General features: G+C 57.1%; 2 protein-coding genes across 26 annotated transcripts in view, besides 7 other annotated features; one reads left to right on the plus strand and one right to left on the minus strand.

Annotated features, from left to right (window-relative positions):
* TMEM129 (transmembrane protein 129, E3 ubiquitin ligase) lies at positions 1-5,372 on the minus strand. Of its 2 annotated transcripts, NM_001127266.2 has the most exons (4): positions 4,682-5,372; positions 2,201-2,675; positions 1,565-1,724; positions 1-1,477 (listed from the first exon to the last, which is right to left on the minus strand). In NM_001127266.2, exons 1-4 carry the CDS (start codon positions 4,884-4,886, stop codon positions 1,229-1,231), a joined length of 1,089 nt encoding a protein of 362 aa, NP_001120738.1. In that variant the 5' UTR covers positions 4,887-5,372; the 3' UTR covers positions 1-1,228. The 2 variants fall into 2 exon arrangements, with proteins under 2 accessions (NP_001120738.1, NP_612394.1); NM_138385.4 differs by lacking the exon at positions 1,565-1,724.
* Positions 3,503-3,582: an enhancer, noted in NCBI's record as "active region_21159". NCBI's record gives its function as "activates an Ori minimal core promoter by ATAC-STARR-seq in GM12878 lymphoblastoid cells {active_cell/tissue: GM12878}" and the evidence as "EXISTENCE:reporter gene assay evidence [ECO:0000049][PMID:35858748]".
* Positions 4,223-4,322: an enhancer, noted in NCBI's record as "active region_21160". NCBI's record gives its function as "activates an Ori minimal core promoter by ATAC-STARR-seq in GM12878 lymphoblastoid cells {active_cell/tissue: GM12878}" and the evidence as "EXISTENCE:reporter gene assay evidence [ECO:0000049][PMID:35858748]".
* Positions 4,680-20,918, plus strand: part of TACC3 (transforming acidic coiled-coil containing protein 3) — a 24,541-nt gene continuing 8,302 nt past the window's right edge. For 12 of the 24 annotated variants that reach the window (NR_199819.1, NR_199818.1, NR_199820.1 and 9 more), the window contains exons 1-8: positions 5,570-5,692; positions 7,470-7,632; positions 7,777-7,919; positions 11,757-12,836; positions 14,936-15,011; positions 15,221-15,350; positions 19,322-19,374; positions 19,780-19,883. Coding sequence is in view for 21 of the 24 variants with exons in the window: in NM_001441305.1 (NP_001428234.1) it covers positions 7,471-7,632; positions 7,777-7,919; positions 11,757-12,836; positions 14,936-15,011; positions 15,221-15,350; positions 19,322-19,374; positions 19,780-19,883 (1,748 nt within the window). In the remaining 3 variants the exon portion in view is untranslated. Of the gene's footprint in view, positions 5,259-5,569; positions 5,966-7,469; positions 7,633-7,750; positions 7,920-11,756; positions 12,837-14,935; positions 15,012-15,220; positions 15,351-19,321; positions 19,375-19,779; positions 19,884-20,918 lie in introns of those variants that run through there. The other 12 variants (NM_001441306.1, NM_001441311.1, NM_001441318.1 and 9 more) reach the window with 10 other exon arrangements.
* Positions 4,913-4,962: a silencer, noted in NCBI's record as "silent region_15140". NCBI's record gives its function as "represses an Ori minimal core promoter by ATAC-STARR-seq in GM12878 lymphoblastoid cells {active_cell/tissue: GM12878}" and the evidence as "EXISTENCE:reporter gene assay evidence [ECO:0000049][PMID:35858748]".
* Positions 4,973-5,782: a silencer, noted in NCBI's record as "silent region_15141". NCBI's record gives its function as "represses an Ori minimal core promoter by ATAC-STARR-seq in GM12878 lymphoblastoid cells {active_cell/tissue: GM12878}" and the evidence as "EXISTENCE:reporter gene assay evidence [ECO:0000049][PMID:35858748]".
* Positions 4,973-6,400: a biological region, named in NCBI's record as "H3K27ac-H3K4me1 hESC enhancer GRCh37_chr4:1723083-1724078".
* Positions 5,405-6,400: an enhancer, noted in NCBI's record as "H3K27ac-H3K4me1 hESC enhancer chr4:1723083-1724078 (GRCh37/hg19 assembly coordinates)". NCBI's record gives its function as "activates a minimal SCP1, AML or CMV promoter by ChIP-STARR-seq in primed H9 embryonic stem cells {active_cell/tissue: H9 hESC(primed)}" and the evidence as "EXISTENCE:reporter gene assay evidence [ECO:0000049][PMID:30033119]".
* Positions 14,802-15,302: an enhancer, noted in NCBI's record as "H3K4me1 hESC enhancer chr4:1732480-1732980 (GRCh37/hg19 assembly coordinates)". NCBI's record gives its function as "activates a minimal SCP1, AML or CMV promoter by ChIP-STARR-seq in naive H9 embryonic stem cells {active_cell/tissue: H9 hESC(naive)}" and the evidence as "EXISTENCE:reporter gene assay evidence [ECO:0000049][PMID:30033119]".

Consider the following 20,918-nt stretch of genomic DNA (forward strand, 5'->3'; position numbering starts at 1 on the left):
TCACTTCAGACTAAATTTTATTAAATATGGTGTCATTTGGCTACAATCGGTTTGTCTTTATAAAACTAAGTAACTTATTTTGTAGTAAAAACAACCCCAACCCACTGCCCCTCTTTGGCAGCCCTTGAAACTCAGTTCAAAGCTAGGCCTGGCTCCCGGCCATGGCCCCTGCTGCCTTCACCTGCTGAGCGCTCTAGGAAGCCTCCCAAATCCCAAGTGTCAGGCCCCCGGAGTCCATCACCTCTGCCTCAAACAGCCAAGCCCAGGGGCTTTGGGGCCGCAGGTATGAAGGCCCCTCCAGTAGCCACACCTGTGTCAGGGCTGTGCCCTGGGGCCTGGCCAACATCCCCCCTCCCCTTGAACCATCAGGAACTGGGCAAGACGCCCACCAGAGGCTTGACCACAGGGGGCGTGCATCCCCTTCTGAGCCTGGGAGACCCTAGGGGAGTGGGTAGCCTGGGCTGGACCCCTGGTGGGCTTGTGTTCTGGATGTCGCTATGGCACTTTGGTCCTCAACTCAAACCCCCACCCCTACCCAGGAGTCTGAGACCTCGGCCTTCCCTGGACTTGTTGGGCAGAAAAAGGCACCAAGGACAGGATGAGAAACCCGGAGGGGCAGCCCCACAAATGAGGGCGCTCTGACCTGTCCTCCCATTGCCACCCCACCCAGGAACAGCCCCTCAACTGGTCACAGCCACCAGGAAGCCCCAGGACTGCTCCCACACCACAGCAGTGCCCTCTTCTCCATCCCACCCTCAGGACCTACCCAGGGTCCTCCAGGCAGCCAGGGGCCAGCTCCAGGACAGGGCAGGAGAATGCGGTCCAGGTCTGGCACGTAACTGAGGGTGGGTATGCTCCAGAGAAGTAAGGCAAATGGCCCAGATGACGACCACCTGGGGTAGACCCAGGGTCTCCAGGGAATGGCTCGGGGGCAGACGCTGTGTCTGTGTGTGCAGGATCTGCCCCCACCAGCAGGAAAGGGGCAGGAGGGAGGCAAAGAGGAGGTGCCCAGGACTTGTACCCTGGCTGCCAAGCAGGGTGGGGTGTTTTCATGAGGATTGCTTTTAACCAAAAGTCCTCAGCCTTCTGCAGACCCAGGGCAGAGGCGAGTTGCTCTACATCATGTGCTTTAAGTAGAGCCCTTTGCCAGCCAGGAGGCCCAGCCACCCCCTTCCCTGCCCTGTGGCTTTGGGGGGAGACACAGAGTCACCTCAAGGCCCCAGCCCACTCAGCGCACGGTGCACACATCCAGGATGCAGAAGCGTGCGCGGCAGGTGGGGCAGGGCACGCGGCTGGCCAGCCAGGTGTCAGGGCGCAGGGGGTCCTGGCGGCTGGCGAACCACTTGCCCATGCAGGTGAGGCACCACATGGGGCGGCAGTAACACTGCTGGCACTCGCCTGTGGCTGCCTCCTGGCAGGTCTTCACCAGCTTCACGCTGGCACGTGTCTGCATGCAGCCTATGCAGGCCTCCAGCTCCTGCGGGCAGGTGGAGCGTCACCAGGAGCCCAGGCAGACACCCGTGGGCACCCACCCATCCACCCGGCCCTGGCCCAGGCCCCCCACCTGGCTGCTGGGCACTGAGTAGGCCGGGTTGACCTCTACCAGGGAGGCAAATGTCTCCAGGAACAGGTCGCCCAGGCTCTGGTGGATGACCACATGGGCTGCCCTGCGGATGGGTGCCCGGAGCTTCTCGCAGAGCTCCCCGTACTCAGTGGAGTTCAGCCTGCAGGGAGGAGAGCTGCTGGGCCCCTCTGCAGGGCAAAGGGAGCGGAAGATGGAGGCTACACCCCAAGGAGTGACAGGGCAGCTGTCGCACCAGGACCAACCAGGAGAGATGGCCCTAAGGCCAGAGCCCACGGACCCAGTGCCAGACAGCCCAGCCTGGGCACGGGACGGACCTAGGAGCAAGGCAGCTGTCCAGCCTGAGGGCTGCACTGTCCTGAGTGCTCCCCAAGAATCTGGGGGAGGTGGCTCCAGGGAGTGGAAGGGGAGGCCAAGAGTGCAGGGGGACCCGAGGGAGGGCTATGCGGGAGGGCTCAGTGACTGGTGTCTTGTGGACACCTTGCCTGGTGTCACACAAGCCCAGGAGTGTTGGAGTCCACACCAGCTACACCCAGCACCTCCCAGGGGTCGTGGCACCAGAGCCTGGCTCTGGCCTGCCATGTGCCCTCCGCAGCCCCACAGGCACCACACTCTTACCAGATGTCAAAGGCCTGCACAGCAGGGTTGGTGCTGGCCACACGGATGGTGAGGAGCTGCACGGGCAAGTTCGAGTCTGGCGAGAGCTCATGCTGCCGAGACTCCGTCACAGTCAGGTGCACGTCCTGCTGCTGGGCCACGTGCACTCGGTAGGTGGTTACCTTCATCACCCACGTGTCTGTCACAATCACACGGGCACCTGGTGCACCGGTGGCAAACTTGTCAATCCGCCGGAACTCAGTGTTGACAGAGGAGGCAACAGCCTGCCAGCCAGACTGTGGGAGGGCGTAGAGGGCCAGGGTGCGCGCCAGTGGGTGGCAGGCCCACCGGTCACGGGACCAGTAGTAGATCAGGATGCAGGCGATGGAGGGGAGGGTCACGGCCAGCAGCAGGAAGAGCCGCCAGGCCTCAGGGGCCTGGCTGAGGGCGTGGAGCCGCTTTTCTGAAGCCGCAAGGCACATGCCCACATAGTAGCCTGCAAAGGACAGGGTGAGCCTCAGGGGAAAGTGAGTGGCAGGCCGCTGTCCACCCCCCGACAGCCCTGGACCTGGCCCTCTGCCCGGGTTCCAGGGTCAGCTCCCAGGGTAATTGGGCTTTACCCACTCTGCACTTCCCCAGCCGGCCACTCTCTCCCTGCCTGTGGCAAAGGCAGGATATATTAGCGGAAAAGGTTTTTAATTTGCTGCTTTAGTTTCACACAATACGTAAGTGTTGAAAAAACTACAAAAGCCTAGAAAGGGAAAAATAAACACAATCAGGTGTCACCTCAGGCAGAGCTGACCCCTGGCCTGCCAGGGCAGCTGCCTGGACAGGATCTCAGTCTCTCAATCTCACCCGCTCTGAGGAGGCTGATCAAATGTGGTGCATCCCAGAGCTGAAAAGTTATGTGCGAGAAAGGAAGCAAGTCTCAAAGAATGATGGGACATGTCCAGAGGACACGGAGCCAGCTTCAGGGCCCTGCTGGCCAGATCGAGGACAATTTGAAGGTCCAAATAAGCCATGGAGATGGTGAGGAGTTGCACCAGCAGGTTCCAGTTGGCAAAAAGTAATAGTCCACATTTGGAGTTGGCCCAGTCACTGCATTTCAAGGTAACATGACATATAACAATAGGTAACTAGGGGCCGGGTGCAGTGGCTCACACCTGTAATCCCAGCACTTTGGGAAGCCGAGGCGGACGGATCACGAGGTCAGATCGAGACCATCCTGGCTAACACGGTGAAACCCCATCTCCACTAAAAAATACAAAAAATTAGCCGGGCGTGGTGGCGGGCGCCTGTAGTCCCAGCTACTCAGGAGGCCGAAGTTGCAGTGAGCCGAGATCATGCCACTGCACTCCAGCCTGGGTGACAGAGCGAGGCTCCGTCTCAAAAAGTAAAAATAAAAATAAAACAGGTAACTAATACCTAATAAAGCTTGAAAACTTTCAAACTAAGTTAAAAATAAAAAGAGCTTGACATCCGACTGTGAGGCCAGCTGTGCTGTCTGCTCCAGGTGTGGCTGCCACAATTCACTTGTGGTCCCTCATAGGCCTCTGGGGAGGGTGCAGCTGGAAGGGCTACAGAAACCCACCCAGTAGCCCTAGAAAGTGGCCTGGTCAGGGCCCCAGCCCCACTCAGCCCCATCCATCTCTCAAGTGGGCCCCCAGCCCACCCTCTCCATGAGGCAGGCCTGGGCGCCTCCACCCGACACCTGCCTCCAGTTCTTCTGGGCCCAGGCAGCTGCATCCTCAAACCAGGATGTGGAGGGTCACCCCTCTTGTATCCCCAGAGTGGCAAACCTGGCCAGCCACTGGCCATCTGTCCTCCCAGGGCTGCGTCTGCCCCCGTGTCCTCCAGAGGTACCCCCTTGAAATCCCCCTCCAGCCACTGCACACCCCACCTCCCACCTGTCCGTCATCCAATCAGCTGAGAGAGGGACCTTCCAGAGCCCCAGCTAGCACCTGGGGCCCAGCCCAGCACCCCCCTGGACAACTCTGAGCGTCCCACCTGCACTGCACAGAGGCCCTCCCCAGCCTCTGCCCCTGTGGCGCCCCCAAACTGGAACTGCCTCCAAATCCGCCTGTTCTCTCCACACCCACCTTCCAAGGCCTAGTGCAGTGCCACCCTCCACACAGCCCCTCCGACCCCTTCCGTTGGACTCAATCAACAGTTGCCTTCTCCTGGCCACTGCCCCCAACCACGACAAGCAAGGGCTGCTTGGCCTTGCAACCCCCAGGCACGTGACGGTTCAGGACTTGGTGGGCCGGAGCATCCCTTGCCCAAGGTTCTGAACTTGGGTTCCCGTCACCTGCAAGTCAGTGCCGGCGGCGCCCCTAAGCGCGCTCAGCCCACGCCGCGGTCCCTCTGGATGAGGACCGGCGCCTCTCCCCAGCTGCGCCCAGGCGCTTTCGGGGCCTCGGGGAGCTGGCGGAGGCCTCCTCCTGACCTCCCAGCAAGCCCTGCGCAGGAGAGGATGCGGCCGGCCGGCCCGAGCAGCCTCACCGAGCGGCAGCAGCGAGTGGCACAACAGCGTGGCGGCCGTGCGGCGCAAGTGGAAGGGCACGAAGGCGGCGTCCTCGCTGCCCAGCCAGCCCGACAGCAGGTTCTGCACCGTGAGCCCCGCCGCGTGGAACTCGTTGGGCGTGAACACGAAGCACACGGCGAACACCAGATAGGCGAGAGTGAAGGTCACCTCGGGGCTGTCCATCGCGCAGCCGCCGGGAAGCTGTCGAGCTAGGCCCCCGCCCCGGCGCGCGGACGAGGCCGCAGCGCCCAGTCCCGGACCTGTCGGTTGCGGCGGCCGCCGCCCGGCCGCCCGCGGGGCACTCTAGGACATGGAGTCCCGCCGCCCGGCCGCCCGCGGGGCACTCTAGGACATGGAGTCCCGCCGCCCGGCCGCCCGCGGGGCACTCTAGGACATGGAGTCCCGCCGCCCGGCCGCCCGCGGGGCACTCTAGGGCATGGAGTCCCGCCGCTCGGCCGCTCGCGGGGCGCTCTGGGAGATGCAGTCCCCGTGCGGGTGCGGCCTCTCTTCTCGGCCGGCCCTGGAGGCGGCACCGCACCTGTGCATTGAGCACAGGTGGGGAAACTTAGGCCTGAGCGAGGCCCTGGCCATGAAGCCCCGCCCAGTAGCGTCAGTTGCGGAACTCGAAATTCATGGGGCGACTGCGAGCCCGGGGTCTCAGCTTCAGACACCCTGGCGTGCCCTCCACTCCGGAAACGGAACCGTCGGCGCCCGAGCGGGGGGTGGGGGGGGAGGGAGGGCGGAGCCGGCGAGGCACAGCTTCCCATTGGACGCCCGCCCTCCTGCGGTCCTGCCCCCGGCCGCGCGCTGATTGGCCGCGCGAAGGCAACCGTCGGCGTTTGAAACTCCGGCGCGCCGGCGGCCATCAAGGGCTAGAAGCGCGACGGCGGTAGCAGCTAGGCTTGGCCCCCGGCGTGGAGCAGACGCGGACCCCTCCTTCCTGGCGGCGGCGGCGCGGGCTCAGAGCCCGGCAACGGGCGGGCGGGCAGGTAGGAGAGCGGCTACACGGCGCGGGGAGGCTGGGGTCCTGGGGGCGCGAGGCCGTCCCGCCCCGCCCCGCCCTCGGCCCTCGCCCTCCCGCCCCGGCCGCCGCTTTCCCCGGGAAGCGTCCCCCACGGCTCCTCCTGGGGCCGCCGCCAGAACCTGTACCGCGCCCTGTCATGGGACCCGGCCCTAGACCGACCGCCGGGCTGGGCCCCCTGGATGGTGGCCAGGGGCGGCTAGAGCTGGGCCAAGACCGACGGCGGAGCGGGCGCCCCGAGGTGCTTTGCTCTCCTCGACCCTCTCCTGTCTCTCGGTCGCCCACCTTGGCTCTTTGTTGGCTCCCAGCACGCGGACCCTCCTGTTGTTCTTTGGTCCCTTCCGGCCTCCGTCCTGGGGCCAACTCCATCTAGGCCGCCTGCGGCGGACACCTGGGCCCCTACCGCTTCCCCGCACCTGCTGCGCCGCTCCACCTTCCCCCCGCACCGCATCCCTCTTGTGCACCAGAGTAGCACCAAAGCACCAGCCTGGGGCCGGTCCCTTCTCTGCCCAGAGCCCCTCCCGGGCCTCCATAGTCAGTAAAGGCCCCTCCTGACTAAGGCTGGGTCTGCTGCTCTCCCGAGCTCCTCCAGGCCGCCAGAAGGCTTCCTCCGAGTCACTTTCTCCCTGAGTTCGAGGCTTGCGGGTCCCCCAGCGATCCAGCACCCCTTCCCCTGCCCTGTACCCAGTTATTCAGGGCGAAAACCTAAGCGTCGTCCGTAAGTCCCATATGTGCCAGTGGCCAGGCCCGGGTCTGGTCTGGCATCTACTCCTTGGGCTCCAGAAGCCTGTGGTTTCCCTGCTTCCCTTCTGCTCTTAACCTCCCCACCCACACACAGCACCACAGTGGGCTTCTCAAGCTGCAGCACCGACCTGCCGGGGCTGCCCCCTCTCTCTTCTCCAGGACCCTCCCCAACTTTGCTCTTCTTCAAATCAAAGCCTCCCCAGGTCCCCCTCCACCACCAGGTGCCTGTGGGGTTCCTGCCCTGGTCGACACTCGGTTCTCTCTGGCAGCCTTTTTCCCTACGTCATTCCCTAGACTGGGAACGCTGTAGACAGAAAGGGTGGCAAGTGTGTGGGTGACCGGCGTGAGGACCTGGGCAGCCCTGGAACCTGGGACTGACTGGAGGCTCTGATGTGGAAGTTCCTTGGCACCTGTTGCTCAGCTCTGGGCTTCCCTTGTTTGCGCATCGTCTCCCAGCTCCTCCTCTGGGCCTTCACCCTCTCAGCCTGGTCTTGTCCCGCTGCCTAGCCCGGTGGGAGAGAGCAGACCAGAGCCGCTGTCCTGCTTTTCTGCCCTCTACTGCCCGGTCCTGCCTCACGTCACACGCAGAGGCCTGTGGGGAGACCAGGGCTTCCTCTGGCTCATCCGGGTTTCTTATTGGCCCGGGCTTTTCCGTCTCTTGACTTCTGCTTGATATAGTAATACAGCAGTAGAGATTATGCAGGCTTGGGTTTTCTTTCTCACCATCTCAGCCTGAAGGCCCTTTAGCTCTTGGTCCCAGGAAGCAGCAGTGCTGCCCATGGCTCCCCCTGCCAGGCTGGAGAGTGAGTCTCTGAAGCAAGATGGGGACTCAGTCTGAGGCTTTCTCTGCCAAGAGACACGTGTGGGAGGTGTGAGTTCCAGAGCAATGAGCACACCTGTGTGGGAAGTGGTCGTGCCCCTTGCAGCAGCTGTCACGTCTGTGTCTGGACAATGTGGTAGTGTTGCCCTCACACTGACACAAACATGTTCTGCTTTTCCAGAATGAGTCTGCAGGTCTTAAACGACAAAAATGTCAGCAATGAAAAAAATACAGAAAATTGCGACTTCCTGTTTTCGCCACCAGAAGTTACCGGAAGATCGTCTGTTCTTCGTGTGTCACAGAAAGAAAATGTGCCACCCAAGAACCTGGCCAAAGCTATGAAGGTAAGTGTGACCTGTACAGTGTGTGGCTGGCCAGGTTGCCCTAGGGCCTGCTTTCTTGGTGACCTCTGAGCTGCAGGACACTGCTGGTGTGGCTGTAACAGCTTGAACTAATGAATAGGTGCTCTCCTCCTCACTCCGCAACAGGTGACTTTTCAGACACCTCTGCGGGATCCACAGACGCACAGGATTCTAAGTCCTAGCATGGCCAGCAAACTTGAGGCTCCTTTCACTCAGGATGACACCCTTGGACTGGAAAACTCACACCCGGTCTGGACACAGAAAGAGAAGTAAGTGTTGGTGCTGCTGGACATGCTGGAGCTTCACCCTCTCTGTCCGATGGTTCTTGCAGGAAAGTGCTGTCTTGTTCTATCAGGCCTTGGCTGGATTTTTTGTTTGTTTGTTTGAGATGGAGTCTCGCTCTGTTGCCCACGCTGGAGTGCAGTGGCGCGATGTCCGCTCACTGCAAGCTCCGCCCCCCAGGTTCATGCCATTCTCCTGCCTCAGCCTTCCAAGTAGCTGGGACTACAGGCGCCTGCCACCACGCCCGGCTAATTTTTTTGTATTTTTAGTAAAGAAGGGGTTTCACCGTGTTAGCCAGGATGGTCTTGATCTCCTCCTGACCTCATGATGCGCCCGCCTTGGCCTCACAAAGTGCTGGGATTACAGGTGTGAGCCACCACGCCCGGCCGGCCTTGGCTGGATTTCTCCTGAAATCTGCACTGAGTGTATGCAGCATATGGCCAGTTCACTAACAGAAAAGTCGATCATCAGATACTTGGATAACTTCATACTTCACTTTTTTTTTTTTTTTTTTTTTTTTTTCTGGAGACAGAGTCTGGCTCTGTCACCCAGGCTGGAGTGCAGTGGCTCGATTTCGGCTCACTGCAAACTCCACCTCCCAGGTTCATGCCATTCTCCTGCCTCAGCCTCCCGAGTAGCTGGGGCTACAGGCGCCCGCCGCCACCACTCCCGGCTAATTTTTTAGCCGACCTGATTCTTAACTGCAAGTGGATGGCGAGGCGGTGTCTGTCTTTGCCTAGAAAGGGAGGATCCTGGTGGCAGCTCTTTACTCTGCGGCTGAACTAATCTGTCTGGGCACCCAGGAACACCTCATCTGCATCCAGGGTGGGAAGGGACCCCAGAGGCATGATTTTCTGTTGGTTTTTTGCTGATGTAACTGTTGTTGCTGTTGTTTTGAGACAGAGTTTCGCTCTGTCACCCAGGCTGGAGTGCCGTGGTGCCATCACAGCTCACTGCAGCCTCAACCTCCTGGGCTCAAGCAGTCCTCCACCTTGGCCTCCTTAGTAGCTGGGACTACAACTGTGAGCCACCATGCCCGGCCAATTTTTTTTTTTTTTTTTTTTTTACACGGAGTTTCATTCTTGTTGCTCAGGCTGGAGTGCAATGGTGCGATCTTAACTCACCACAACCTCCGCCTCCCAGGTTCAAACGATTCTCCTGCCTCAGCCTCCGAGTAGCTGGGATTACAGGCATGCGCCACCACACCTGGCTAATTTTGTGTATTTTTAGTAAATATGGGGTTTATCCGTGTTGGTCAGGCTGGTCTTGAACTCCCGACCTCAGGTGATCTGCCGGCCTCGGCCTCCCAAAGTGCTGGGATTACAGGCATGAGCCACCACGCCCGGCTGGCCCAAAACTTTTAAGCAGATTTTAGATGTGCAGAGAAAAGCATAAGGAACAGAATACCACTGATGCTTCTCACCCCCTGAGATAAAATGTCACCAGTAAGTGCAGGCAGCATTTCCTACATCCTTCTCTGGGCCCTGGGTCCGTCTCCCCTCTACCCCTCCAGCCTGAATTTGCAGTTCTTCCCATGTCTGCTTGCTACTTTTCAACTTTGTTTTTTGCCCCTTTTGAAATTTGGTCAAACGAAGCGAGAATGAATCAAACATTGGTTTACAACGACCCCAAGAAGGAAGGGAGACCCAGCAGCAGAGAAGTCGCCTCCCAGCTGCCATGGGTGTGATCCGTCCCAGAGCCACAGATCCCCTGCCTCTCCCCTATGCCTCCAGGATCACCCAGCAGCCTCCATAGGGCAGAGGGTGTAGAGGAGCTGGGAGGGGCTTGAGAGGTTGGCCCTGAGGGGCTCCAGCCAGAGTGACTCTGAGCTTGTGGCTTGGACTCGTGGCTGTCATCTCCTTTCTGGAACTCTGCTGAGGCCCAGGTGGTGGTCACTGTGGTGCTCCCACGTCAGTGGGATGAGACCAAGAGCAGCCGCTGCGTGCAGCTGCCCACGTGTCATTCAGAGGACAGCCGAGTGGCCGCCTGGGAAGGCAGTGCCGCCCCAAGGTGGCAGCTGGGCAGCAGAGGAGTTGTGAGCAGTCTGACAGGTCCCTCACCCTCAGTTTCTCAGTTTTGACATCTTCAAACTTAGAGTTGGAAGAGAAGGGCAGGTGACATGGGCCCCTTATCTGAGGCACTGGCACATGACCCTGCGTCTTCTCAGGGACCTGAAGGCTGGGGAACAGGTGAAACAGTGTTTGTGCCCTCTGTGTTGTAGTCCAGCCCCAACCATCCCAACAGCCGCCTCTTCTGTCAGGGGCCCTGCGCCATGCAGTCCCACATTGTGAGCAGCGAGTGCCCCAGAGACAGGTGGGTCCCTGGGAAGGTGTTCTCTGCACCTGTGCCACTCCACTGTAGCAGGCGCCATCCCAGGGAGGCGTCGCAGAGGCCACTCAGGTCCTTCTGTGCCTGCAGGTGGCATCCTGCACCTCAGCCCTGCCCTTCAGTGAAGGCTTTGACTGTCCCTGGCCACAGCACTGCCAGTCCCCGACTTGAAGGGGAAAGCAGATTCATGCAGAAAACCTTTGTTTACCACGCCCCCTGCTGGCCATCCTGGGGCCTGCAAGTCCCCAGGACTGATCTGTTGGGCATGTCCTCGGGTGAGGTTTAAGCCACAGGACAATGTTGACTGAGCTTTCTTGTTTTGCTTGTAGCTGATGTTTTCACGCAGATTAAAGTGTTATCGGAATGCTGTCAGGTCCCTTAATGTTAGAATTCAGGGTCATTAAGTGGTGCACACCCTTCAGTGATTAGGAGAAACACAGGCGGAAATAATGATTATATGACTTACAGGCCCACAGCAGGCTGGAGGCCACACAGAGGACTGGGGCCAGGCCCTGGAGCATAGGCAGGGGACAGCTGAGAGGGTGGCAGCCAGCCTTGTCTATCGGGGAGTAGGGTGGGGTCACTGTATGCTGGTGGGCAGGTGCTCGAATGGATTTTTTACAGGAAATGGTGGATGCCGGGTGCGGTGGCTCCTGCCTGTAATCCTAGCACTGGGAGGCCGAGGCGGGTGGATCACCTAAGGTCAGGAGTTTGAGACCAGGCTGACCAACATGATGAAAACCTGTCTCTACTAAAAATACAAAACAAAATTAGCCAGACATGGTGGCGGGCACCTGTAATCCCAGCTACTTGGGAGGCTGAGGCAGGAGAATCGCTTGAACCCCAGAGGTGGAGGTTGCAGTGAGCCGAGATCATGCCATTACACTCCAGCCTTGGCAACAGAGCAAAAATCCGTCTCAAAAAAAAAAAACATAAAAATAAAGGAAGTGGTGGGAAATTGAGGAGCCCAGTCTACCAGGTGGGAGAGATGCCTCCAGGCTTCTTTCTCTGGCATCAGCTTGAGGCATTTGGGTGTGCTGTCCCACATCTGACCCCCCAGGCAGCAGCCTGTGCTGTGTGCATGCTGTGGGCCTGGGGGCAGACCTCGTGCATGATGACGAGTGCTGTTTGGGTGGCAGAGGCTGCTGGAGGAGTCTGGGTCCAGCACCTGGCAAAGCGCGTGATGAGCACAATTAAACAGGCAAGCAGCCCAGAGGCACCCCTGTAACTTGGAACCCCAAGAAGCATGAGGGCGGGGTCAGCGAGGAAGTCACGTGGTTGTGTCCAGCCGTTCCACCGGGAGCTGGTCCCTGGGAGGACAGGAAGGAACTACATTGAGGAACTGAGGTGGGGGGTGGAGAACGGGAAGCCGTGCCAAGGGTGACTCAGCCCTGCTTCTGGTGTGAGAATGTTAAACCTATGTTGAGAATGAATGCTGAGGCCCCTAACCTCACCAGGTACTCGCTGCTTCACGTTGATTAAGTCTCTTTTAAAAGCCAACAGCTCATCAAGGAAGTGGATGCCAAAACTACTCATGGAATTCTACAGAAACCAGTGGAGGCTGACACCGACCTCCTGGGGGATGCAAGCCCAGCCTTTGGGAGTGGCAGCTCCAGCGAGTCTGGCCCAGGTGCCCTGGCTGACCTGGACTGCTCAAGCTCTTCCCAGAGCCCAGGAAGTTCTGAGAACCAAATGGTGTCTCCAGGAAAAGTGTCTGGCAGCCCTGAGCAAGCCGTGGAGGAAAACCTTAGTTCCTATTCCTTAGACAGAAGAGTGACACCCGCCTCTGAGACCCTAGAAGACCCTTGCAGGACAGAGTCCCAGCACAAAGCGGAGACTCCGCACGGAGCCGAGGAAGAATGCAAAGCGGAGACTCCGCACGGAGCCGAGGAGGAATGCCGGCACGGTGGGGTCTGTGCTCCCGCAGCAGTGGCCACTTCGCCTCCTGGTGCAATCCCTAAGGAAGCCTGCGGAGGAGCACCCCTGCAGGGTCTGCCTGGCGAAGCCCTGGGCTGCCCTGCGGGTGTGGGCACCCCCGTGCCAGCAGATGGCACTCAGACCCTTACCTGTGCACACACCTCTGCTCCTGAGAGCACAGCCCCAACCAACCACCTGGTGGCTGGCAGGGCCATGACCCTGAGTCCTCAGGAAGAAGTGGCTGCAGGCCAAATGGCCAGCTCCTCGAGGAGCGGACCTGTAAAACTAGAATTTGATGTATCTGATGGCGCCACCAGCAAAAGGGCACCCCCACCAAGGAGACTGGGAGAGAGGTCCGGCCTCAAGCCTCCCTTGAGGAAAGCAGCAGTGAGGCAGCAAAAGGCCCCGCAGGAGGTGGAGGAGGACGACGGTAGGAGCGGAGCAGGAGAGGACCCCCCCATGCCAGCTTCTCGGGGCTCTTACCACCTCGACTGGGACAAAATGGATGACCCAAACTTCATCCCGTTCGGAGGTGACACCAAGTCTGGTTGCAGTGAGGCCCAGCCCCCAGAAAGCCCTGAGACCAGGCTGGGCCAGCCAGCGGCTGAACAGTTGCATGCTGGGCCTGCCACGGAGGAGCCAGGTCCCTGTCTGAGCCAGTAAGTGTGAGGATGGGATGGGGAGCGTGGCGTGGGGCAGCTGCCCTGCAGTGTATGTGGTCCAGGACCCGAGGCCAGAAGTGTCATCAGATACTCCTTTGAGGCCGGGTAGGTTCTGCCTGAGGAGGGGCCTCTGGATAAAAACAGGGCTCAGGTGGCTCCCAGCTGAGGGTGCTTGGCCTTGCCTTGGCTGCCATGCATCTCTTTAGTGCTCCTGGCCTAAGGAGGGATCCAATAAGGGCGGGCTCAGGCCAGAAGCCAAATGCAACCAACCCTGGGCAGGACCCTGTCCCCCAGTCATGTTCCTCCTCAGGTGAACTTGACTTGGGTGTGTAACTCCAAAAGCCAGGCAAAGCCTGTTACTGCCTGGGTGGCGTCCGCTGCTTGCTGGGGTCTTGGCCGTGGGTCTGCTGCCTCCTGGCTGAATGGTCTTAGGCTACATCTCCTAGAGTTGCTCAGTGGGAGATTGTCCTGCCTGTAGGGTCCAGCCCTACTGGGTCTGTGGGTTTTTTCTCCTCGTGTGCATAGACAAGAGATTGTACAAATAAAGACACAAGAAAAAGACAGAAGAAAAGACAGCTGGGCCCGGGGGACCACTACCACCAAGGCACGGAGATCGGTAATGGCCCCGAATGTCTGGCTGCGCTGTTACTTATTGGATACAAGGCAAGGGGACAGGTTAAGGAGTGTGAGCCATCTCCAATGATAGGTCAGGTCACGCAAGTCACGTGTCCACTGGGCCCTTCCCTGTTTGGCAGCCAAGGCGGAGAGAGAGGACAGCTGACGCCATTATTTTTTCTATGTATTTCAAAGACTTTAGCACTTTGACTAATTCTGCTACTGCTATCTAGAAGACAGAGCCAGGTGTACAGAGCGGATCATGAAAGTGGACCAGGAGCGTGACTGCTGAAGCACAGCATCACAGGGACACAGGCCTCTGGATGGCTGCGGGCGGGCCTGACTGATTCCACAAGAGATGGTGGAGCAGAGTCTTCTCTAACTCCCCCAGGGAAAGGGAGACTCCCTTTCCCAGTCTAATTAACGGGTGCCTTCCCAGGCACTGGTGCTACCGCTAGACCAAGCTAGGTAACGGGTGCCTTCCCAAGTGCTGGTGTTACCGCTAGACCAGGGAGCCCTCCAGTGGCCCTGTCCGGGCGTGACAGAGGGCTCACACACCTCTTCCGGTCACTTTCTCACCGTGTGCCTTCACCTCCTATCTCTATATGGCCTGGTTTTTCCTAGGGTTATTTGTTTGTTTGTTTGTTTTTTGAGACAGAGTCTCGCTCTGTCACCCAGGCTGGAGCGCAGTGGCGTGATCTCGCCTCACTGCGAGTTCTGCCTCCCGGGTTCACACCATTCTCCTGCCTCAGCCTCCCGAGTAGCTGGGACTGCAGGCACCCGCCACCATGCCCGGCTAATTTTTTTGTATTTTTTAGTAGAGACGGGGTTTCACCGTGTTAGCCAGGATGGTCTAGATATGACCTCGTGATCCGACCGCCTCGGCCTCCCAAAGTGCTGGGATTACATGCGTGAGCCACCGCACCCGGCGTTTCCTAGGTTATTATTGTAGAACAAAGATTATTATAATATTAGAATAAAGAGTAAAGCTACAAACTAATGATTAACGATATTCATATATAATCATATCTATAATCTATTTCTAGTATAACTATTCTTATTCTGTATATTTATGATACTGGAACAGCTTGTGCCCTTGGTGTCTTGCCTTGGCCCCTGGGTGGCTTGCTGCCCACACCTGCCCCAGCCTCCACATTTGAAGCCTTTTGTCAGTTTCACAGTAAAAGGGATGTACTCATCCTTGTGATTCCCTTTGGCTGCATCGTGCTGACTTTAGAGCTCCCAGCCTGCTTCTCCCAGAGCTGGCAGGCAAGGCGCGTGTTTTCCTGCTGGGTGAGGTTGGTGAGGCAGTTTTGTGGCCAGGTCGCTTGGGACAGCCCCATGCCTGGCACGCTCTAGCTGAATGTTCACGTGGCCGGCACAGCAGTGCAGGGAAAGGCGATGGCAGCTCAGTGCTGGAGCAGGGGACGCCGGGGTTATGGGGTGGGGGGCATGGGCCTCTGCTGACTCTGTCTCCCCAGGCAGCTGCATTCAGCCTCAGCGGAGGACACGCCTGTGGTGCAGTTGGCAGCCGAGACCCCAACAGCAGAGAGCAAGGTAAGGGGTGCTTGTGTGGGTACCTGTGCTCCTGGCCTGGTCGTGTAGAAGAGTAGCAGGCAGTGGAAGCCCCCAGCAGCCTTGGGTGACGGGGTGGGATGTCCCGCTCCCTCTCCCCCAAGTCTACTTCAACAAGGTTGTGGGGAGGCAAAGCCACACCCCAAGTACCTTGACTGCACTGCACAGGGTGACTCTGCCCTTTCCTCCAGGAGAGAGCCTTGAACTCTGCCAGCACCTCGCTTCCCACAAGCTGTCCAGGCAGTGAGCCAGTGCCCACCCATCAGCAGGGGCAGCCTGCCTTGGAGCTGAAAGAGGAGAGCTTCAGAGACCCCGCTGAGGGTACGTTGCCTGGCACAGACGTCACACACAGTCTGCCCGGAGGGGATCCCGTGAGCACTTGGGCAGCTCGAGACACCTGCATCATCGGCAGGTGGTCATTTCGCAGGCAGTTGGGTCCCTTGACTTTGAATGACTCATGCACAAACTTGTGGTTTGTCAAAACTTAGTCAGTGTTAGGAGAGCAGGGCTCATACCTTTAACATAAAAGACTTCTAGAAATGGAAACTGTAGACTCAGGAAAATGAGCAGGAGAGGTGAACAATGCAGTGCGCTAATGAGATACAAGTGTAGAGTCAACAACTGGATACTCGATCATCAGAAATACTGCTTGAAACGACCTTCTTTTTTTTTTCTGAGATAGTCTCGCTCTGTCACCCAGCCTGGAATGCAGTGGCACAATCTGGGTTCAATGCAACCTCCACTTCCCAGGTTCAAGAGATTCTCCTGCTCAGCCTCCCAAGTAGCTGGGATTACAAGCATGTACCACCACATCCAGCTAATTTTTGTACTTTTAGTGGCAACGGGGTTTCACCATGTTGGCCAGGCTGGTCTCAAACTCTGACCTCAAGTGATCCACCTGCCTCGGCCTCCCAAAGTGCTGGGATTGCACGCGTGAGCCCCCGCGCCCGGCCCAGAACCCCTTGATAATGAAATGTGAAGCCTGAACCTTAGACACCAGACTGCAGTTAAATACGGTTTGTCCGTAAGACTGGAGGCTGCAGTTGAATACGGTTTGTCCATAAGATTGGAGGCTGCACTTGAATACGGTTTGTCTGTAAGATTGGAGGCTGCAGTTAAACATGGTTTGTCCATAAGATTGGAGGCTGCACTTGAATACGGTTTGTCTGTAAGATTGGAGGCTGCAGTTAAATAAATACGGCTTGTCCGTAAGATTGGAGGCTGCAGTTAAATAAATACGGTTTGTCCGTAAGATTGGAGGCTGCAGTTAAATAAATACGGTTTGTCCGTAAGATTGGAGGCTGCAGTTAAATAAATACGGTTTGTCCGTAAGATTGGAGGCTGCAGTTGAATACGGTTTGTCCGTAAGATTGGAGGCTGCAGTTGAATACGGTTTGTCCGTAAGATTGGAGGCTGCAGTTAAATAAATACAGTTTGTCCGTAAGATTGGAGGCTGCAGTTAAATAAATACGGTTTGTCCGTAAGATTGGAAGGTGGAACGGTCCTTAAATTAAAGTGCATTTGGTAGGAATTGATGGCTGAGTTGTTTTAAAGGACACACAGCCAGGTGGGTATAAGATCTCAATTTAGAGAACTGAAAACCCAGGCACACAGCAGACACGAATGGCATGTAGGGTTTGTCGCTGACAGGATAGTTGTGGGCCGCCACCATGTGGGGATATCAGCTCAGCTGGGATGGGCCTGTCACCCTCACGCAGGATCCCTGGAATCACACAGCACGGCCTTCTGTGTCCGGCGTCTCCCTCGGGGAGGTGTGTTTCCGAGTCCTGGCCATGCTGGAGCAGGTGTGGGTGCTCCTGTCCTTGCCGTGGCAGCTTGGCTTCACATCATCTTATCCATTCATTCATGGATTTGCTGGTTTCTGCTTTTTAGCTGTCAGGAGTAGTGCTGCCTCGAATGTTCAGGTGTAAGTTCTATGTGGATGTATTCTTCCATTTCTCCTGGATACATAGCTAGGAGTGGAGTCGCTGGTCACAGTAACTCTGCTCACCTTTTAGCTACCAGGTGGCCTTCCAGAGTGGCTGCAGTGTTTCACATTCCCACTGGCAGTTATAAGAGAGCTCCAGTTTCTCCACATCCTCGCCAGCGCTGCTTGTCTGTCTTGTTGATCCTAGACTTCCAGCGGGTGGGAAGCGGATCTGGTTGCGGTTTTGATTTGCAGTTCCCAGGTGGCTCATGAACGAGCGTCTTTTTATGTGCTCGTTGGATATCTTCTTTGGGAAAGTGTCTGTCGAGATCCCTTGTCCATTGAGCCACTTATGTTTTTATTACTGAGTTTTAAGAGGTAAATCCCTTTTATTCAAGAAGTGAGGGAAAGGAAAAAATACAAAGTTAAGTCCCTTATCAGATGATGTTTCAAAGTATTGGCTTTTGGCCAGGCATAGGGGCCCACACTTGTAATCTCAGCATTTTGCGGGGCCGAGGCAGGATTGTTTGAGCCCTGTAGTTTGAGACTAACCTGGGCAACATGGCAAGACCTCATCTCTACCAAAAAAAACCTTTTTTTTTATTACCTGGCATGGTGGCGTACACCTATAGTCCCAGCTGCTCGGGAAGCTGAGATGGGAGGCTCGCTTGAGCCAGGAGGTCAAGGCTGCAGTGAGCCATGATTGCACTACTGCACTCCAGTCTGGGCGACAGCGAGACCCTATCTGAAGGAAAGAAAAAAAAGGCAGAAATGAAAACTGACAACAAGGCTAGGTGCGGTGGCTCACGCCCGTAATCCTAGCACTTTGGGAGGCTGAGGAGGGCGAATCACCTGAGATCAAGAGTTTGAGATCAGCCTGGCCAACATGGTGAAACCTCATCTCTACTAAAAATACAAAAATTAGCTGGGTGTGTTGGCACATGCCTGTAATCCTAGCTACTTGGGAGGCTGAGGCGGGAGAATCGCTTGAACCCAGGAGGCGGAGGTTGCAGTGAGCCGAGATGGCGCCACCGCACTCCACCTGAGCAACAGAGCAAGACTCTGTCTCAAAAAAAAAAAAAAGAAAAGAAAACTGACAAGGCCATAGCAGAGAAGGACCTACAAGTTTTTGCTAGACTAAATAATTGGCAACCGTTTTTTAGCTTAATTGAGAAAAGGAGAGAATGAGCAAATACTGCTAGGCATGAAGAAAGGGACAAAACTAGAGATGCCTCAGCCTGGATCTCAGCCAGATCAAGACCCTGTCTTAAAGTACCAGTTTGGTTTGTTTTTTTCCCGAGACGGAGTCTTGCTCTGTCGCCCAGGCTGGAGTGCAGTAGCATGATCTCAGCTTGTTGCAACCTCCGCCTCCTGGGTTCAAGCGATTCTCCTGCCTCAGCCTCCCAAGTAGCTGGGATTACAGGCTCATGCCACCGTGCCCAACTAATTTTTGCATTTTTCGTAGAGACAGGGTTTCCCCATGTTGGCCAGGCTGGCCTCAAACTCCTGACCTCAGGTGATCCACCTGCCTTGGCCTCCCAAAGTGCTGGGATTACAGATGTGAGCTACTGCGCCCAGCCACAGTTTAAGAGTTTTATAGTTTTAGAGGCCGAGACCGGAGGATCACTTGAAGTCAGGAGTTCAAGACCAGCCCTGGCAACGTAGCAAGACTCCTCCTCTACCAAAACAAAAAGTAGGATAGTTTTAACTCTCACAGTTAGGGTGTTGATCCATTCTGAGTTAATCTTTGTATGTGGTATGAGGCACCTTTTCTTTTTTTTTGCAACAGTTTTCCCTCCGCTGCCCAGGTTGGAGTGCAGTGGCATAATCTCAGCTCAGTGCAGCCTCCACCTCCCAGGCTCAAGGAGTTCTCCTGCCTCAGCCTCCCTGTAATAGGAGTGCAGCACCGCGCCTAGCTAATTTTTGTATTTTTTGTACAGACAAGGTTTTGCCCTGTTGAACTCCTGGGCTCAAGTGATCCACTCGCCTCAGCCTCCACCCTTAGTTTTAATCAAAAGTTATATTATCAAAAATTAAAAGACTTGTCTAGGGTAATTTTAAAGACTAATAGTTCTCAACCAGAGCAGTTTTGCCCCCGCCTTTCCCCAGATGTTTGTGGTTGTCACACCTGGAGGTGCTGCTGGCAGGGAGTGGGTAGAGGCTGGGGATGCCGCTCAGCACCCTGCGGTGCCCAGGAGGCGCCTGCCGCAGACAGCAGTCAGGCCCCGAACATCCACACCTCCAAGGGAGGAAATACTGCTGGCTGGAATGATCCTGCCTCACTGAGTGCTGAGGGAGACACCAGCCCGCCGCCCTTAGGGCCCTGGTGAGGGGCGATGGCGGCGGCATGATTCACTCCTCTCAGTTCTAGGCACGGGCGCGGAGGTGGATTACCTGGAGCAGTTTGGAACTTCCTCGGTAGGTACCAGGCAATTCCGCGAAGCCTCACCCACAGGGTGTCCGAGAGCAGCCACGGCAGGTCTTGCCCCCGGAGCGTCCCTTGGTGCCCACGTCCCCCCAGCTGCACACAGGCCCAGGCATTGTGGCGGGCTGTGAATCCAGGGCCCCTTCTGCAGCACCTCCTCTAAGTGGTGTCCTGTGGCAGGGCTCTAGGGCTCTCTACCTGGTGCCTAGCCCAGGATGAAACTCTGACACGCTGTGCTGCTGGGAATGGTGGTGTCTCGGGCAGGGTTGTGGGTGACCGGGGGTGGGAGTGTGCGGGTGACCGGGGGTGGGAGTGTGCAGGTGACCTCCCTGGCCCTTAGCCCCCGTGTGTGTTAGGGGATGGCAGTCAGACCTGATCACTTGCCCTCTTGTCCCCAGTTTAAGGAGTCGGCCTTGAGGAAGCAGTCCTTATACCTCAAGTTCGACCCCCTCCTGAGGGACAGTCCTGGTAGACCAGTGCCCGTGGCCACCGAGACCAGCAGGTATGTGCGCCGGCCCTCCCTCATGCATGAAGCCTTGAGTGTGGGAAGACTGGAGGCTGTTCCTAGGTGTGCTGTCTGCACAGAGGCTTCTAGACCGGGGGGAGATGATCAGAACTGGAAAGGAGCTGTGCTAGGGGTGGGCTGGGCAGCAAGGCCAGAGCAGCCCTTGTGTGTCTGGCAGGAGCAACGGCAGCCTACCCTCCAGCCACAGGGCTGCTGCCTTGCTGGTTACAGCCACCGTTCTAGGTATATTAAAGATCTAAACTTAAATCTTTTAAGAGTACTTCCTCTAAAACAGAGGTCGGCAGGCCAGGCGCGGTGGCTTACGCCTGTAATCCCAGCACTTTGGGAGGCCGAGGTGGATGGATAGCCTCAGCTCAGGAGTTTGCCACCAGCCTGGGCAACATGTTGAAACCCCGTCTCTACTAAAATACAAAAATTAGCCGGGTGTGACGGCATGCACCTGTAGTCTCAGCTACTTGGGAAGCCGAGGCAGGAGAATTGCTTGAACCCAGGAGGCGGAGGTTGCAGTGAGCTGAGATTGCGCCACTGCACTCCAGCCTGGGCAACAGAGTGAGACTCCATCTCAAAAAAAAAAAAAAAAAAAAAAACCAAAAAATAGAGGTCAGCAAACTATCACCTGTGGGCCAGACTTGGCCACTGCCTGTTTGTGTAAAGTTTTATCGTCACAGAGCCATGCCCGTTCCTTTGCAAATTGTGGCAACTTTCACACTACAAGGCCAGAACTGAGTAGTGTGACAGAGGCTGTGTGGCCTTCAAATCCTAACACATGGCCGGGCGCAGTGGCTCACACCTGGAATCCCAGCCCTTTGGGAGGCTGAGGCGGGTGGATCGCCTGAGGTCAGGAGTTTGAGACCAGCCTGGCCAACATAGTGAACCCCCATCTCTACTAAAAATAACAAAAATTAGCCGGGTGAGGCGGCAGGCGCCTGTAATCCCAGCTACTTGGGTTGCTGAAGCAGGAGAATCGGGTGAGCCTGGGAGGCAGGGGTTGCAGGGAGCCGAGATCATGCC

This window comes from Homo sapiens, chromosome 4, assembly GCF_000001405.40.
Source record: "Homo sapiens chromosome 4, GRCh38.p14 Primary Assembly".
Taxonomy (NCBI): Eukaryota; Metazoa; Chordata; class Mammalia; order Primates; family Hominidae; genus Homo; species Homo sapiens.